Genomic DNA, 18,728 nt, shown 5'->3' with positions numbered 1-18,728 from the left:
TTATATAACTAAAGCAATTTTTAATCATAAAATTTCTGAACAGCTTGTAATTTTTAAAATACCTATTGGAAGTTGTTTACAGTTATTTTGTTTAAGTGTGAATTTTTTCCTTTTCTTGTCAATCTCTCTTTGGGGAAAAAAAAAAGTGGGTTTCTGGTAATGAACTGAGCAGACATCTGATATATTACATGCCTTTTAAGCTGTGTAACTTAATATTTGTATACTTGATAATTTGTTTTACTATGTAATTGATAAAATTGTGATGTGTATTGATATTAGTTTAATGTGTAAGAATGTATGCTTGTAGTTCTCTGGGAGAAACAATTTGCCAAGTGTTCACCAGCTTGTAAAACTCTAATGTGAGGCTGGGCCCGGTGGTTCACGCCTGTAATCCCAGCACTTTGGGAGGCCGAGACAGGCAGATCACCTGAGGTCAGGAATTCGAGACCAGCCTGGCCAACATGGTGAAACCCCGTCTCCACTAAAAATACAAAAATTAGCTGAGTGTAGTGGCAGGCACCTGTAATCCCAGCTACTTGGAAGGCTGAGATATAAGAATCACTTGAACCCAGGAGGTGGAGGTTGCAGTGGGCTGAGATCGCGCCACTGTGCTCCAGCCTGGGTGACAAGAGGGAAACTCCATCTCAAAAATAAATAAATAAATAAATAAATAAATAAATAAATAAATAAACTCTAATGTGAGAGCTTAAACATCTAAGTAAATAAAGGCACCTTTTAAAAAAATCAAATTACTGAATATACATAAAATATAAAATCTGCGCCCTTAAAAAATTAAAACTTTATTCGATTGTATGCCTGAAATGACACACATCAAGTTCTTAATTGTGATCTGCACTATTAAATGAACATGTTTCTATAGTCTCTTTTTTCTTTCTTTTTTAGTAATGATCAAGAATTAATTTTGTCACTGAACAAATAAAGAATTAAGCAAATTACCACTGTATTAGGGAAATATATATATGAATAGATTGAGATACCTTCTTTTTATTCTTGACTAGAATAGCTCAATTTTGTAGAGATGTAACTTTGCTCTATAGTAATTTATAAATTTAATATAATAACCACATGAATAAAAGCAAAACAGGATTTTCTTTTTTTTTTTTTTTGATCCAGAGTCTCGCTCTGTTGCCCAGGCTGGAGTGCAGTGGCGTGATCTCAGCTCACTGCGAGCTCCACCTCCCAGGTTCACGCCATTCTCCTGCCTCAGCCTCCCAAGTAGCTGGGACTACAGGCACGCACCTCCACACCTGGCTAATTTTTATTTTATTTTATTTTATTTTTGTATTTTTAGTAGAGACGGAGTTTCGCCGTGTTAGCCAGGATGGTCTAGATCTTCTGACCTCGTGATCCGCCCGCCTCGGCCTCCCAAAATGCTGGGATTACAGGCGTGAGCCACCATGCCGGGCCAGGATTTTCCTTTTTTAGAGCCAGGCTCTCACTATGTTGCCCTGGCTGGTCCCAAACTCCTGGGCTCAGGTAATCCTCCTGCCTCAGCTTTCTGAGTAGCTGGGACTATAGGCACACACCACAGAGGCTAACAGAACAGATTTTTTATTGGTCAAAATGACTCTAAAATTTATTAGAAGTAACACATAAGAATAGCAAGGAAGATATTAAAAATAAGAAGGATGGGCCGGGCGCGGTGGCTCACGCCTGTAATCCCAGCACTTTGGGAGGCCGAGGCGGGTGGATCATGAGATCAGGAGATCAAGACCATCCTAGCTAACATGGTGAAACTCCATCTTAGGCGGGCATGGTGGCACGCACCTGTAGAGGCAGGAGAATCGCTTGAACCTGGGAGGCGGAGGTTGCAAAGTGAAACTCCGTCAAAAAAAAAAAAAAGAAGGATAGCTATATTACTACTAAAGAGCAAAGTTATGATAAGGCCACAGTTATTAAAAGCATGTTACCAATTCAGGAATAAGCAAATAAGTGAATGGAACAAACCGAAGCTCAGAAATACTCTGTGTGTGTATGTGTAATTTGAGTTTGCACTATCTTTGTCACATATTTCTGTAACATCTTAACTTCTAAATTTTCTAAAATGGTACCCAGAAAAATAAATACATTTAAACTATTCGAGTTATAGAAACTGTCTTAATCCATTTTGTGCTGCCATTACAAAATACCACAGGTATACCACAGAGTAATTTATACAGAAAAATTTATTTGGCTCACGGTCCTGAACACTAGGAAGTCCAAGGGCATGGTTACACAGTTTCAGCTAGATAGCAGAAATGCCTTTCAGTGTTTTGTAACATTGTAGGATGAACATAGTTACAATAATATATAGTATCAGGCTGGGCACTGTGGCTCATGTCTGTACTCCCAGCACTTTGGGAGGCTGAGGCGGGTGGATCATTTGAGGTCAGGAGTTCGGGACTAGCTTGGCCAACATGATGAGACCCTGTCTCTACTAAAAATACAAAAGAAATTAGCAGGGCGTGGTGGCGTGCGCCTGTAATTTCGGCTACTCTGGAGGCTGAGGCAGGGGAATTGCTTGAACCATGGAGGTGGAGGTTGCAGTGAGCCGAGATTGCGCCACTGCACTCCAGCCTGGGCCACAGAGCTAGACTCTGTCTAAAAAAAATAAAATAAAATAACAAAAATTAGTTGGGCATGGTGGCGCGCGTGCGCACGCCTGTAATCCCAGCTATTCGGGAGGCTGAGGTGGAAGAATCACTTGAGCTCGGGAGGGAAAGATTGCAGTGAGCCGAGATCGCATCACTGCACTCCAGCCTGGGTGATGGAGCAAGACTGCATCTCAAAATAATGATAATAATATAGTTTCAAATAGCTAGGAGGAAGATATTGAATGTTTGCTCCCAACACAAAGAAATGATAAACGTTTGAGAAGACGTATATGCTAATTATCCTGATCTTATCACTATGGTATGTGTTTATCACTACATGTATCAAAATATCACTATGTACCTCATGAATATGTACGATTATTATTTGTCAATTAAAAAGAAACTGCAGACCTTTTATGCATGATTCCACAGGTGGAGGAAAAGTCAAATTTGCCGAGGATTTGCCAGCTTTAAATTTATCCGCATCAGTATCAGGCCTCCCAGCTTCCTCCTTTTCAGTCACCCATGAAGGATTGTGGAGTGGGGGAAGTTGGGGAAGGGGAACGCTGGAATGAAAGCCTTAGCCAAGGACGTGGATGGATGCAAAGCCGCCTTCCTTTCCCCCATTCCGCCAATCCTCTATTCAACGTGTGTTGCTGCTTTTTGTTTGTTTGTTTGTTTGTTTTGTTTGTTTGTTTGTTTTTGAGACAGAGTCTCCCTCTGTCGCCCAGGCTGGAGTGCAATGGAGCAATCTCGGCTCACTGCAACCTCTGCTTCCAGGTTCAAGTCATTCTCCTGCTTCGGCCTCCCAAGTAGCTGGGATTACAGGCACTTGCCACCACACCCGGCTAATTTTTGTATTTTTAGTAGAGACGGGGTTTCACCATGTTGGCCAGGCTGGTCTTGAACTCCTGACCTCAAGTGATCCGCCCACCTCGGCCTCCCAAAGTGCTGGGATTACAGATGAGAGCCACTGCGCCCGGCCAAACGTGTTCTTTTTCATGCTTACAAGATGTCATGTCACAAACATGTTATTGCATTTTTGTGAGATGACTTCTTTGTCAATGTTTAGCGATTGTTTTAGAGTTTTGGAAAATACAAACAAAATAAACTTTGCGGATAAAAGAATACCAAATGTATGTCTGATCCTTCTTCGTAGCTTATAAAAATTAATTTAGACTTTCAAATGTACTTTACCCCGTTAATTATTATATCACTCCGTAGAGGCTCTTTAGCACGCGGGGCCACACAACCGCAGCTCACTCTGCCCTGCGGTGGGCGCCTGGATTTGAAAACCGACTTTTCCCTGACTCCGCGCGGACTGTGGAGGAGACCAAGCCGCCGGGCTCCCCGACTGTCCACAGCCCGCAGTCCCCGCGCCCGGGCACTCACATACCCCTGACGGCGGCTCCTCCCGTGGGCAGCAAACGGGCCCCAGGCTGGGTCAGCGCCTCTGAGTTCCAAGCAGAGAGCCCCGAAGCCCGCACTCCCGAGCCGATTCCCACACTCGGGCGTCCCCGAGACACATTCCCGGCCGCGAGAGGCCACTTCCACGTGGAATTTTCCCACGGAAAAGCCAGCGCTCCCCATTCCTGGGGGTGCAGAGTTCGTTCCGCACGCGCCGTCACCTCGCCTCTGCAGCCACCTATGCGGGGAACCGGTTGGACTTAAGACTCCAACCGCCCGCTCCCTGGCTCCGGCGTCTGCGTCCCCAGCACCTGCCCGCTCTGCAGACGCCAGAAAGGACCCGCGGCGCTCCCTGCTCCCGAAGTTTCACCTCTCGCTCTGCTCTGCCCCGGGGACACTCACCCGCCCGAAGTCATCCCGAATCCCGCCGCCCTCAGACTGCCGGATGTCACGGAGCCTAGCAGCCAGGCCGCCGACTGCCCCGCCCTGGCACCGACCCGGGCAAATTCTCGGCGAGTAGGGCAGGTGCAGGACGCTTGGGACGGCCCCCGCCCTTCTCTCCTGACCGCCCCCACACCAGCGCCCCCATCTCTACCCTGGACTTTTCTCCTCCGCTGCCGGTGATCGGGCTTCTCTCTCCCGCTTAAAGAAAAACACAATCCCCGCGTCCACCCCTAGTCTATCACCACGGTCCCTACCGTTCCTTCCTCGCTATGCTGTGTCCCCGTGCCCTCCAACCTCGCGGCCTTGACCCACCCGCAGCTCATGCTGGGGGTCCCTAAATTCGGCCTTGGTCCCACCTCCACCCTCCACTTCACCACGCACTCCACACCTACTGTCCTGGCAAAAGACCCCAGGAACTGGAAAGCTGGGGTGTGGCTGAATCCTTCTAACGGGCAGGGACCCGTGCGGCCACATAACGCCTGTGTGCCTGGAAGAAAGAGTCTGTTGAACTTCAGATGAAATTAGATTTGCAGGACCTTTTTCATAAGCCAGGCTCAGTGTTTCCCATGGCTCCTCTCACGCATGATTATATTGTATTCTAATGACCCAGCTGCCACAAATACAAGAATTTATTTTTTGAAACTGTCACCCAGCCTGGAGTGCAATAGTGTAATCATAGCTCATAGCCTCGACCTCCAGCGCTCAAATGATTCTCCCACCTCAGCCATCCGAGTAGCTAGGACTACAGGCACCCACGACCGCACCTGGCTAATTAAAAAATAATAATAATAATTTGTAGAGAGGAGGTCTCACTCTGTTGCCCAGGCTGGCCTTGAACTCCTAAGCTCAAGCAATCGTCCTGTCTCGGCCTCCCAAAGTGCTAGGATTACGGGTGTGAGCCACCACGACCGGCAAGAATCTTTAAATATGGCGTGCAAAATGCATGCAAAATGGGGCCGGGTGCGGTGTCTCATGTGTGTAATCCCAGCACTTTGGGAAACTGAGGCAAGTGGATCACTTGAGGCCAGGAGTTTGAGACCAGCCTGGGCAACATAGTGAAACCCCATCTCTACTAAAAATACAAAAATTAGCCCGGGGTGATTGCACACACCTGTAATCCCAGCTACTTGGGAGGCTAAGGCACGAGAACACGAGAATCTCTTGAACCCAGGTGGCAGAGGTTGCAGTGAGCCGGGATCATGGCACTGCACTCCAGTCTAGGTGACAGAGAGTGACTCCATCTCAAAAAAAGGGAAAAAAAGAAAAATGGCCAGTGCTTTTTTTTTTTTTTTTTTTTTTTTTCGGAGTCTGGGAAAGTGAGTCTTGGAAAAGAGTAGAAGGAAATGCCAGCGTGATCTACAACTTTGATGCAGGTGAGTCCCAAGTTCAGGTCTGAGCTCCTTGGCAGCCAGCAGAGAAAGGGAGTCTCTCAGAAGGGAGTTTTAATGTAACAAATGTAGATAACTATTTTCTAGCTCCAGACTGGAAAAGAGATCCTCTTTGACAAGACCAATCAGAAAAGTGTTGTACCGACTACGTGCATGTAGGGGGGTAAAAAAAGACATTTGTATAACACCTCCTTGCTTACAAAGAGCTTCCATATTCATTCCCGTCCTTCATTCAGCTCTTGTAATAACACTGTCAGGCACTTCTCAGATGTGAAGACTGAGCCTATGAGATCTTTCATGACTCATTCAAGCTTATGTGGCCAGTAATGGGGCTAGGATTTTCACCTAGGAGTTGTGTCTCTAAAGCCAGTGCTGGCTCCCTCAAACCCCCTGTATCACCAGCTGTTCTGTGAAAGGGTTGTATACACAAAGAGACCCCCAAATGCTGAAGAAGATGAGAAACCAAAGGAGGAGGTAGACAAATCCAGTTTGTTGGTATTGGGTGATTTATTAAGGGAACTTAGAAGTGTGGTCCTGGACACCACAAGGCAGGTAGATCTCTATACTACAACCCCTCAACCCAGAGCATATATCTTGGGCAAAAAGCATATGTACCCTAGAAGGAATACATAGGGGCTACAGGCAGAAACTATGGTTTCTGCAACAATAAGAAGAAAACTTACAATGAATAAGTGTTCATACATAAAGAGTAATACACAACTAGACATTTTTTTCTTTGAAGATGGAGTCTCACTCTATTGCCCAAGCTGGAGTGCAGTGGTGTGATCTTGGCTCACTGCAACCTCTGCCTCCCGGGTTCAAGCAATTCTCCTGCCCCTGCCTCCTAAGTAGCTGGGATTATAGGCATGCACCACCACACCTGGCTAATTTTGTATTTTTAGTAGAGACGAGGGTTTCACCATGTTGGTCAGGCTGGTCTTGAACTCCTGACCTCAGGTGATCCACCCACCTCAGCCTCCCAAAGTGCTGGGATTACAGGCATTAGCCACTGGGCCTGGCCCAACTAGACATTTTAGAGGCACTCCTGGGACTTGGGGTTAACCAGGCAGATTCGCATTCGAAATAAAGTGGCTCTTTTCCCCACACCAGCTCTATTTAAGTAGGAAAGCTCTTTTCCATCAGATCTGTGGTTTGGAAGCAGGGAAGAGGATAGTTCAGGCATAACTCTTGCTTCACATTAGTGTTGTGATTGGTGATTGTGGTTCCAAGGTGAACCCTCTATGGTTGTAGATCCTCTCTCCCTGCTCTAGGGATGACTGCAGGAAGGCAGAGTGGATTAAAGGAGAATATTTACTCTTTTTCAGCTTGATCAGGGTTTCTGCCTGGCAGAGCTAGCTGTGGTCCCTGACTGTCTAGACCACAGCCAAGCAGCTGCCCTGCTGCTACCCTGAGTGACAGACAGGAGCATCACCATCTTGGACAAGCACCACCATTTTAAAGTTCACCTTGATCAAAAACCACCTAAATCCAAAGGGCATCAGCCTAATGGCTAAGGTTAGCATGACCATAAACCACAAATGACATCTCGGACCAGAAACATTCCAACCATAAGATAAATCCCTCCCCAACCAGAGACATGCCAGCCCTGAGATAACCTCTCCTCTGACCAGAGACATTCCAACCCTGCAATAAACTTCCCCCCCCACACAGAAATATTCCAAGCTTGTGATAAGCTGTCTCACCCTAAAACCAATAAATACTCCTAGTCTGTAAGACAGAATGCTTCTGACCAAAAAATCGGCCAGAAGCCCCTCTCAGGTTTATTCTCCAAAATAAACCTTTGACTGTTGAGCCACTTTTTGTGTTTCTTTCCTCTTTCTTTAACTCTTACATTTGGTGCTGAAAGCCAGGATGGGTGTTGGGGATAGAGGCTCTCTTGCAACCAAGGAAGCAGTGGACAGCAGCTGCTCATCCCACTGGATCCTGAGAGTCTCTGGCCACCCATCCCATCTTGTCTCTCACTTTACTTTTTGAGCAATTTGCATGAGGAGGACAACTAACCTGAAAGGGCCTGCAAGGCTCGGGCTGGGGCTACTCTCCAGTGAGCCCTCAAAACCCTCAGGTCTCAGGAATCCACCTCTGACTGCCTGCAATGGGTATCAGGTATTTCGCTTTCTCCCCTCCTCCTCCCTCATCCTCCTCTCTATCTCTCTCTCTCTCTCTCTGTCTCTCTCTTTCTCTCCCCACCACCCCACTTCTTGTGGCTCCAGTCCAAGAGGCCCTTTGCCAATTCCAGCTGGAACATCCAACATCAGACACTAATCCAGCTAACTGGTAAGATCTGCCTTCCCCTTTCTTTCTCATGGTACTCGGGACAGTCAGGTCTGCCATCCCGGTCTTCAGAGAACCAGTGGGACTAAGCTAGAAGAAATCTTGGGGATGCCCAGTTTCTTCTCAACTTGACCATCCTCTTTATAAAGAGGATTCTGGGTCTCTGCCTTTTGACTGGGGATGCCTAGAACTAAAACAGACACCCTTGGCTTCCTCTTACCAGTCCACATGGGTACCAAACAATCCTGCATTCCCACATCCTCTCCACTGGGCTGTCTCCTTCACAACCTCACCAACTTGGCTTACAGGAAATATAAAGCCAAAGTGTTCAGATTTTTATTGCAACATGGCCTGGCCCGGGTACAAATTAAATAATGGCAAGTTAAAATTTCGAGCCGAAGGCCCAAATATGGCACCTTTTACTTTCAAATTCTCAGGGACAATGACAACTTTATAACCAGGAATGGCAAACGCCAAGAGGTTCTCTCTATTCAGGCCAGGCTTTCTTCTACTTTAGATCCCGACCCTCTCTGTCTCAAGCTTGCACCCTTCATGAAATCCTTCTTAATGAAAACCTTCCCCAGGTCTCTCCTTCCCCTGAAACTCCTTCCTTCAAAACTCCTTCCTCCAAAACTCCTTTTGACCCTGCAGATGAACCCCCTCTGCATTCTCATCCCTCTGCATCTGCTCCTCACCCATCTGAACCCTCTGCCCTGGCAGCCCCTCCTGCCCGCAAGCCTTCAGCCCCAAACCCCGCTTCCCCTCCTTCTCCACCTGTGACCCGTTCAAAAACTGCTCCATCCAGTCAAATCATCTCTGCCATTCTCCCTCTCTGGAAAGTGGCTGGGGGTGAAGGCATTGCTTGTGTTTATGCCCTTTCTCCATGTCTGATTTGTTGCAAATCAAACATACCTAGGATCTTTCTATGAAAATCCCTCTCATTACCGCAGGGAATTCCCGCACATAACCCAATCCTTTAACCTGGCCTGACATTTATATAATTCTAACCTTCACCCTCACCCCTGATAAAAAAAAGAGTGCTCAGCTTAATTAAAATGGATATCCAAGCTATGAGTATATTCAAAAGGCCTTTATGTTTTGTCTCTTCATAAATCTTATTTTCCTAGGAAAGGTTTTCTCCCAATCAACTGAATTACTTTTCTCCACTCTGTCTTGCCATTCTTGGTGCATATATGAAAGACCCTAAAATGACTTCTGGTGGCCTGGGACTCCTTGGGAAAACAAAAAGGCACCATGAATCCCGTTTTGGGAAAAATCTGTTTTCCTTATGGAACCCCTAGAATTAGAGGTGAATAAGTGCTTCTCAAAATCTGTCTTTGTCTTCCAGCTATGCTTGTTTATTAGGCCCTGGAAACTGTTTTCCTAGTCCTGTTTTTAAAGGGCCTCACCAGAAGGCCATTAATCCAATAGGGAAATTTTTTTTTTTAAATCTTATAATTACTGGATCTTCTTCTGGTTGTCTGTGTGGCTATATATGTGTTATGTGTGCAATATCTATTTTAAAAGCTCTAATTAATTGGCCTAAGAAAAATAAGCACTTAAACATTTTTAAGGACAAAGTAAAAGTTGTGGGACCTTCAGTTCACATGACTTTAATCTTTAAAACTTACTGGTACAGTAAGATTAGAAATGTCTTAAGAGTTGCCAGGATACATTTTTGTTTGCATTTATTAATCAAGCAATTTCATACTTATCTCTGCCAAATGCTATAAGGTGTCAAAATTTGGCATAGAGGCTATAAAACTGTAACTCAGCCCAAACAGAATAATCTTTGCTTGTGTAATTTTTTGATAAAGGAACATTAATATTGGTTTAATAAAGATAGCTACACCTTGAACTGTTTAGTGAAATACCTAACTTCTAATCTTGAAATTAAAGAAAAGGTAATTTATATAAAAAAGAATCTTATATGGTAAATTCTTGTCCTGAAGTAAATTAACTGGTTGTTTAAAGAAAGGAATGTTTACAACAAGTCAGCAAGTTGAGGCACATCAGAAATTGTCTGTGTAAGTCATAAAAAATTTTATAAAAGGGAATTTATGCAAGAAAGGTACAATTTAGGCCGGACACAGTGGCTCATGCCTGTAATCCCAGCACTTTGGGAGGCCAAGGCGGGTGGTTCACCTGAGGTCAGGAGCTCGAGACCAGCCTGACTAATATGGTGAAACTCTGTCTCTACTGAAAACACAAAAGTTAATTTAGCTGGGCGTAGTGGCACGTACCTATAGTCCCAGCTATTCAGGAGGTTGAGTAGCTTGAGAATTGCTTGAACCCAGGAGGTGGAGACTGCAGTGAGAATTGCTTGAACCCAGGAGGTGGAGACTGCAATGAGCCGAGATTGCACCAATATAACCAACGTACTCCAGCCTGGGGTGACAGAGCAAGACTGCATCTCAAAAAAAAAAAAAAAAAAGAAAGAAAGAAAAAAAAAGAAATGTACGATTTAAAAGTGATTAGGCCTCCTGAATGCTTTATACAATGCCACTATAACTCTTAGCTGTACAACTGGCCTTCACTGAAGCTAGGTAAGTCCTAGGACACACGGAGTTTGTTTTTTTTTTTTTTTTATTGATCATTCTTGGGTGTTTCTCACAGAGGGGGATTTGGCAGGGTCATAGGACAATAGTGGAGGGAAGGTCAGCAGATAAACAAGTGAACAAAGGTCTCTGGTTTTCCTAGGCAGAGCACCCTGCAGCCTTCCGCAGTGTTTGTGTCCCTGGGTACTTGAGATTAGGGAGTGGTGGTGACTCTTAACGAGCATGCTGCCGTCAAGCATCTGTTTAACAAAGCACATCTTGCACCGCCCTTAATCCATTTAACCCTGAGTGGACACAGCACATGTTTCAGAGAGCACAGGGTTGGGGGTAAGGTCATAGATCAACAGGATCCCAAGGCCGAAGAATTTTTCTTAGTACAGAACAAAATGAAAAGTTTCCCATGTCTACTTCTTTCTACACAGACACGGCAACCATCCGATTTCTCAATCTTTTCCCCACCTTTCCCCCCTTTCTATTCCACAAAACCGCCATTGTCATCATGGCCCACTCTCAATGAGCTGCTGGGCACACCTCCCAGACGGGGTGGCGGCCGGGCAGAGGGGCTCCTCACTTCCCAGTAGGGGCGGTCGGGCAGAGGCACCCCTCACCTCCCAGACGGTGCGGCTGGTCGGGCAGGGGGCCGACCCCCCCACCTCCCTCCCGGACGGGGTGGCTGGCCGGGCAGAGGGGCTCCTCACTTCCCAGTAGGGGCGGCCGGGCAGAGGTGCCCCTCACCTCCCGGACGGGGCGGCCGGACGGGCGGGGGGCTGACCCCCCCACCTCCCTCCGGGACGGGGCGGCCGGCCCGGCGGGGGCCGACCCCCACCTCCCTCCCAGACGGGGCGGCCACAGGGCGGAGACGCTCCTCACCCCCCAGACGGGGCCGCGGCCGGGCAGAGGCGCTCCCCACATCCCAGACGACGGGCAGCCGGGCAGAGATGCTCCTCACCTCCCAGACCGGATGGCGGCGACACACGGAGTTAAATGCTGGGATAAGTCAGACCTTATCTGCACTTCTGTCTAGGTCCTAGGCTCTACACCTAGTGCATAATTAAAATCCCAAGCTTGGCCAGGAACAGTGGCTCATGTCTGTAATCCCAGCACTTTGGGAGGCCAAGTCGGGAGGATCACCTGAGGTCAGGAGTTCGAGATCAGCCTGGCCAACATGGTGAAACCCCGTCTCTATTAAAAATACAAAAATTAGCCAGGAATGGTGGCGCTCGCCTGTAATCCCAGCTACTCGGGAGGCTGAGGCAGGAGAATCGCTTGAACCCAGGAAGTGGAGGTTGCAGTGAGTCAAGATTGCACCATTGCACTCCAGCCTAGGTGGCAAGAGTGAAACTCCATCTCAAAAATAAATAAATAAAAATAAAATAAAATCCCAAACTCACCAACAAAAGTAAAGGTTGCTAAAAGTTAAGTGTAACATGTATTTAAGACTATTAAAAAAAGTTTACATATAGTTTTGGTAAAAAGATTATAAGGAGGCATGAAAATGTAATGTGGTTTTTTACCTAGATTAAAAGGTTAAAGAATTGTTTTTAGTTGAATAAAATAAAAATGAAGGTTTAAGCAATTTTTGGAAGGTTAATTGTAAAGGAAATTCTGTGTGTAAACATATTGGCTAAAGTTGAAGGGGTATCATCCAGTTTTTCTGTAAATTGAGCATTAAAATAAAAGCACAACAGGTTTCTCTTAAAGCACTAACCTGCTCTTAGCAAAAATTATAATGGGTCTATAGACTATTTTTAAAGATTTTTATAAAAATCTTTACTTTATGGTCAAACATTAAAATTCGGTAAATTTGTCTACAAGGTTTTATTAAAAATTGAGCTTAACATTAATAGCACTAATATAATGGTAAAATTTGGTATAAAATCATACAGGAAGCAATGTCAAATAGAAAATGGTGTTTGGCTTTCTTTGGACTATATTTGTATAAATATGTTATTGGTATGTGTTCCAAAGTTATGGGAGACTCCTATAATTCTGATATATCTTAGTGTATGTTATCAGTAGTAATTATAATTGTTATGTTAAAACTATTGTGTGCCACAAAGGTAACAGATATCCTTGTCAATTGTGACTTTAACTATGGCTACCCTAAAACTTTTTGTCATCCATAAACAATTGTTGTCTTGTTTTGGTCCTCTTTAGAAGGTAGTCTTATAATCAGCTATAAAGCTCTAACAGGTGCTCTTGAATGCAGCTTTTTGATAACTTTGGAGATTGTGACATCAGAATAGAGGAAAAACGTTCAGGACTCTCGAAGAGCTAAAACGTTCATTAATATCAAGCAGGACAGAAATTAACTGCATTAACTGAACTAATAGGAGACTGAAGTGATCTTTTTGACGTTTTGCTGAAAATATTGCTAATCCTTTGTTTTGCTTTTCAAAGTCAAAGAAACTTTTCTTTTGAGCTATTGACAGCTTTTAACAATTTAGTATACTCCCATGAACAAAATTTGGAGCATACTTGTTTCTCTCTACCTGATTTTCTCCAGAATTTGGAAACTGTGAGTATTCTTAAGTTGTGGCAATATAGTTATTTGCATAAGTGCAATAAGAATCTGTTTTCTTTTGTAACAGGACACAATTGGAAAAACTGGTTATTTTACCAAGGCTTTGGCTGGAATGGTGTGCTTTCCTTTAAGGAATCAAACCTGACTTATGAAGCCAAGAAAGCTCTTGGGAAATTGGCCTCACGTTTTGTGTACACAGTCCCTGTACAGGGTTTCTGATCTGTGGTAAGTAAAGAATGTCACTTTCTGATAGGCCAGGAACCCCAAGTTATTTTGGAATCTCAAGGGGAAACTCATAGGTATTTAATGGTATAATTCCATGGCTGGGCTCAGCTTTAAAAAGTCTTATCTGAGATTCCTTCTATGGAACAAAGTTCCATCAATGCCAATTTAAAAGGCCTATGTAACAAATAATTATTCTTGCTGCACTGTATGCAAATAATTAAGCCAAGTATAATAAAACAAGCCATTCCTACCATGATTTGTCTTTTAATAAAAATGGGAAATTGGAGAAAGGAAATTATGTTTCAAAAACTATAGCACACCTGTTATTAAATTCTAGTGTTGCCAAATGTTTTTCAATTTTTATTATTTTCTACAGTTTAAATTAAATTCTAACTTTTCTGGCTACAAGTTTCCAAATAAGCTGTGCTTTCTTAAAGCCCTATGAACTGAAAACTAGCTGTTTGAGCAGGTGCTGCCTATAAGCCTCCAACCATGACAGGAGGAAATCTCTTCACTGCTGGCACTGACAACTAATAACTGAGGGTGCCCAGAATCCTTTGCCCCCACGTCTAGTGAGTCCAGGGAATCCAGGGCAATTGAGACAGTATCTGTTACAGGAATCAACTCCTGGATACATCACACTCAAGTCAAAGCCTGGAAAGCTGAGGAAGCAACCCCTGACAGCCCAAAGGAACATCCTAAATATCAATGTAAAGAAATAGGAAATCTTAAGCTGAAAATCATAAAAAATAAGTAACTAAGTGAGAACTAGTCATCTTACTCAGTCTCACCCCTACTTCACCAAATACTTTTTGTCGTTCCTACCTCTCCTTCTCAGCCAAATATTAAAACCTTTTAATGGAAATTTTCGACTATGCCACCCTGTGGGAACTGCTTTACTCACTCTACTATTTGCAGTAGGACTATATGCTGTAGCAGCCTCGGGGTGGAATATCAGACAGAGAATCTCAGTTACTGTAGCATTTTGCTTAATTATTATCCTCATAGCAGGAAAAATGGTTACTAACAAAAAGTAACACACGGGCCTTTCCAAACATGTGCCTCTGCATCTCATTAGGTAAGGAATGTTGTTTCTATCTCAACCAGTTGGGCCTAGTAAGAGACACTGCTGAAAAATTTAAAGAAAGGGCTGAAAAGGTAAGGGAATACCAAAACAACCAAATAGATTATTGGTTTGGGAACAAAATCATAGCATGGGTCATCCCATTTCTGGGCCTTCTCTTCTAATAATATGCCTAGGACTAATGTTCTTACCCTGCCTAATTAACCTTTTTCAAATATTTTTAACTGACAGGATCATGGCCATTTCACAGACAACTACCCAAAAACATCTACAGACGACATTACTCCTACAGTCAATCTGAGACCAGAAAACTCTCTGTCCTCCCATCAGCAGGAAGTAGCTAGAAAGAACATGCCACCTCTCTTCCTTTTTATAACTATAGGGTCTGGATTGACAGAGCAGGAGCATCACCATCTTGGACAAGCACCACCATTTTTAAGTTCACCTTGATCAAAAGCCGCCTAAATCCAAAGGGCATCAGCCTAATGGCTAAGGTCAGCATGACCATAAACCACAAATGACATCTCCGACCAGAAACATTCCAACCATAAGATAAATCCCTCCCCGACCAGAGACATGCCAGCCCTGAGATAACCTCTCCTCCGACCAGAGACACTCCAACCCGCAATAAATTTCTCCCCCACACACAGAAACATTCCAAGCCTGTGATAAGCTTTCTCACCCTAAAACCAATACTCTTAGTCTGTAAGAGAGAGCACTCCTGACAGAAATTGGCCAGAAGCCCCTCTCAGGTTTATTCTCCAAAATAAACCTGACTTTAACTGTTGAGCCATTTTTCGTGTTTCTTTCCTCTTTCTTTAATTCTTACACTGAGGACTAAAGAAGAGATGGCTGTCCAAGTCCACCTGGAGCCCTGATAGCTGTCCAGCCTGTGTGCATCACACTGCAGGCCCTGTCTGGGGTCAGTCTGAGGATAGCTTCCCCCAATGGTGACCCCAGGCTTTTTCACTGTGGTGGGTCCATTTTACTACTGTTACAGGACTTCCTCTTCTCCCTGGCTGTGGACCCATTTCCAGCTATCACCTTTGACAAATTGGCAAATTCTTAAGTAACCTGAATCTCCTCTGTATTTGGTCATTCCAGCTACTCCCAGTGCCCAGTATACCCACCTCTGGCACTGGTCTTGCGGGGCCAAAGGACAAACTCTTTTTACCTTTCACCATCAAGCCCCTGTCTACTCGTCCCTTATGGGAGAAGCTTCAAGTGGTCCACATGGGACCAGATTCAGCCAACAGATTCTAGTGCCATAACTGAGTTTTCTGAAAGTTGTTCCTGAAAGACTGATTAAGCTACCTTTGCATCTTGGCCCAGTTAAAACAGCAATTCCTACCAAGAGGAGTGCTCAGGTAAGAAGAAAGTAGAACAATTTGAGCCACCCCAAAAAGGTGGTGATGCCAGTTAGCAACTGCTTGACTCTAGAGAAATGAGACCATGTCTTATTCCTTGCTCTGCTCCCAGAGCCTTGCGCAGGCCTGGCTCAGAGTAGGCACCATTCATTGACTGAATGAACTATTCCCATGAGTGCTGGGAGTGTTTTCCCACCCAAATGATCAGTAACCCTTCCTCTTCTTCAAATTCAGCCTTTGCTGTTGCTCAATAAATGTATGTTGAAAGGAAAAAGATGAGGGGTCAGCTCTTCAGAGGACTGAAGAAGTGAGAACAAAATATCCAGGCTTGTCATAATCTCAAGGAAAAAGCAAGTGGTGTCACTTGCTCAAGGATGAGGATTAAGCAATAGGTGTGTGGAGTTGGGTCCTCAATCGTGGGGAAGGTTCTAAACAGATTGCCCTAGGATCTCAGTGAGGCGTGAAGCTTATTCAAGTTCTCACCTGCTATTTTCCCTGTCTTCAAAACACTCCTCTAGGCTGGGCACAGTGGCTCACACCCGTATTCCCAGCACTTTGGGAAGCCGAGGTGGATGGATCACTTGAACCCAGGAATTTGAGACCAGCCTGGCCGACATGGAGAAACCCTGTCTCTACTAAAAATACAAAAAAAAATTAGCCAGGCATGGTGGTGCATGCCTGTAGTCCCAGCTACTCAGGAGGCTGAGGAAGGAGAATCTCTTGAACTCAGGAGGCAGAGATTGCAGTGAGCCAAGATCACACCTCTGCACTCCAGCCTGGGCAATAGGGCAAGACTGTTTCACACATACACACACACACACACACACACACACACACACACAGACACACACACACACACACAAAAGACTCCTCCACTCACCTGTGCTTCTTTTCTCTTTTACCCTTCCGCCTCTGGTTAAATGTTAGTTCCTCAAGGAGACCTTTCCTAGCCACCAGACTAGGTCAGAGTCCTCTTTTCGTGCCCTGACAGCCAGCATCCAGTACCTTCCAGTCACAACGCTGATCAGAGTTTGTAACTGCATATTACTCTGTGTATGTTTGTTTGCTGTCTGTTTCCCCTGTTCCCTGAAAGGCAGTGCCACTCCTGTTTTGCTCTCCATTGTATCCCCAGCACAGGGGCTGGCTCATAGTTGATATTCAAAAACCATCTGATGGAGAAAGGAATGAATGAATTGTATTCTATCATTTAATGCTCAGAACAATCTTGGGTCTTCAGTGTTGTATTTGTCTCCCTTTCACATGAGGAAAGTGAAAATTAGAACTCTAGGGGGACACAGAGGGGACTGGAATCAGTTCTACTGGATCAACAGCCCACATCTGCCCTGCTGCCTGGGTGAAGCGGAGGGTCCAGGTTAGTGAGAATGGGAGAGATGCAGGGGAGACAGGAAGACAGTCAGGAAGGGCCAGGGCCAAGTCCGGAACAGTGAGGAAGGGAAAGAAGTCCAGGATGCTGCCCAGCTGACTTCAGCCTGACCCTGGGAGTCAAGAAGGATGGGTGAATGGGTGTATGTCATTGACGTGGAGCAGGGCAAAGGGGGTGCAGACTCGACGGGCTGTGGATTTCTTCTCAATTATCTTCTGAATTATCTTGATGTCTTCAAGAGGCAGTGCAATCCTAGTTAAAAGATGAATTCCAGAGGCTGGCTCTGCTTCTGCTCTCAACCTGCTGTGTGAACTTAAACAAGTGATTAAACATCTCTGTGCCTCAGCATCTTCAGTTGTAAAATGTGGATGATAACAGCACCTACCTCATGAGGTTGTTTTAAGAATTAAATGAGTTAATAAATGTAAAGTCCTTAAAACAGTGCTTGGGAAGTAACATTTGCCACAGTATTAGCAATTATTATTTGAAGGGCATCTTTTGTGCATTGAAAAGTCTCCTGTGGTTATTATGGTTTAAATTAATATTAAATGTAGGCAGGCCATGGTGGCTCATGCCTGTAATCTCAGCACTTTTGGAGGCCAAAGTAGGTAGATCATTTGAGGTCAGGAGGTTGAGACCAGCTTGGCCAACATGATGAGACCCTGTCTCTACTAAAAATACAAAAATTAGCTGGGCATGGTGGCACACACATGTAATCCCAGCTACTTGGGAGGCTGAGGTAGGAGAATCGCTTGAACCCAGGAGGCGGAGGTTGCAGTGAGCTGAGATCATGCCACTACACTCCAGCCTGGGTGACAGAGCGAGATTCTGTTTCAAAATAAATAAATAAATAAATGTAGTGAAGTCACAAGTACAAGCTCCATATTCAATAAACAGACCTTTTAATTTGTGATGGGATGAATTATTAGTTCTAATTCCTTGCTTCCTTATAAAAGAGTTGAATATCACACATTGCCATAGCCTCAGAATGGACAATGCCCCTCAACCTTGGGCTTGACCAAAATATTTACTATAGCCAAAGGGATGTTAGCAGATGAGGACTCAAGCAGAGGCTGAAATACATTTGTATGGATCAGCTTTCTCTCCTGAGTTCCAGTGATCCACTATTAGAAGAACATGCCCCAGGGACCTATTGTCTGTTCAGCCTTGGCCCCAGGAGAAAACCCAGGAATCAGATCCAAACTGAACCCATGGCCAGGGGGAGCCAAGCGCAGCTGGCCAGCAGTCTGTGGCAGAGTCACCCAGCTAAGCCCAGCCTAGATCAACTGAACTATAGTTGATATTCATACCCATAAGCATGAGAATAAAATTTATTGTAAGCATGGTTGGGGTGGTTTGTTATATAGCATCATTATTGCAAAAGTCACCTAAGACATATTTCTATCAATAAATCTAATAAATTTTAAAAATAATTCAGCCTTGGCAACATGGCAAAATCCT

At 44.7% G+C, this 18,728-nt stretch overlaps 1 protein-coding gene and 1 long non-coding RNA gene across 6 annotated transcripts in view, besides 1 other annotated feature; one reads left to right on the top strand and one right to left on the bottom strand.

Annotated features, from left to right (window-relative positions):
• Window positions 1-16,866, bottom strand: part of B4GALNT2 (beta-1,4-N-acetyl-galactosaminyltransferase 2 (SID blood group)) — a 56,497-nt gene extending 39,631 nt beyond the window's left edge. For 2 of the 5 annotated variants that reach the window (NM_153446.3, XM_011524314.3), the window contains exon 1: window positions 3,991-4,441. In NM_153446.3, coding sequence (NP_703147.2) covers window positions 3,991-4,184 — 194 coding nt within the window. In that variant the 5' untranslated portion in view covers window positions 4,185-4,441. Of the gene's footprint in view, window positions 1-3,990; window positions 4,442-4,699; window positions 4,751-16,763 lie in introns of those variants that run through there. The other 3 variants (XM_017024173.2, NM_001159388.2, NM_001159387.2) reach the window with 3 other exon arrangements.
• Window positions 11,553-12,058: an enhancer, noted in NCBI's record as "H3K27ac hESC enhancer chr17:47202514-47203019 (GRCh37/hg19 assembly coordinates)". NCBI's record gives its function as "activates a minimal SCP1, AML or CMV promoter by ChIP-STARR-seq in primed H9 embryonic stem cells {active_cell/tissue: H9 hESC(primed)}" and the evidence as "EXISTENCE:reporter gene assay evidence [ECO:0000049][PMID:30033119]".
• On the top strand, window positions 13,331-15,305 carry LOC124904021 (uncharacterized). The gene is made up of 2 exons (XR_007065835.1): window positions 13,331-13,432; window positions 14,748-15,305. It is a non-coding gene; the product is annotated as an uncharacterized LOC124904021 (long non-coding RNA).
• Window positions 16,867-18,728: the final 1,862 nt, after the last annotated feature.

This window comes from Homo sapiens, chromosome 17, assembly GCF_000001405.40.
Source record: "Homo sapiens chromosome 17, GRCh38.p14 Primary Assembly".
In the NCBI taxonomy this organism is placed as follows: Eukaryota; Metazoa; Chordata; class Mammalia; order Primates; family Hominidae; genus Homo; species Homo sapiens.
This window is presented reverse-complemented; position numbering and strand designations above follow the sequence as displayed.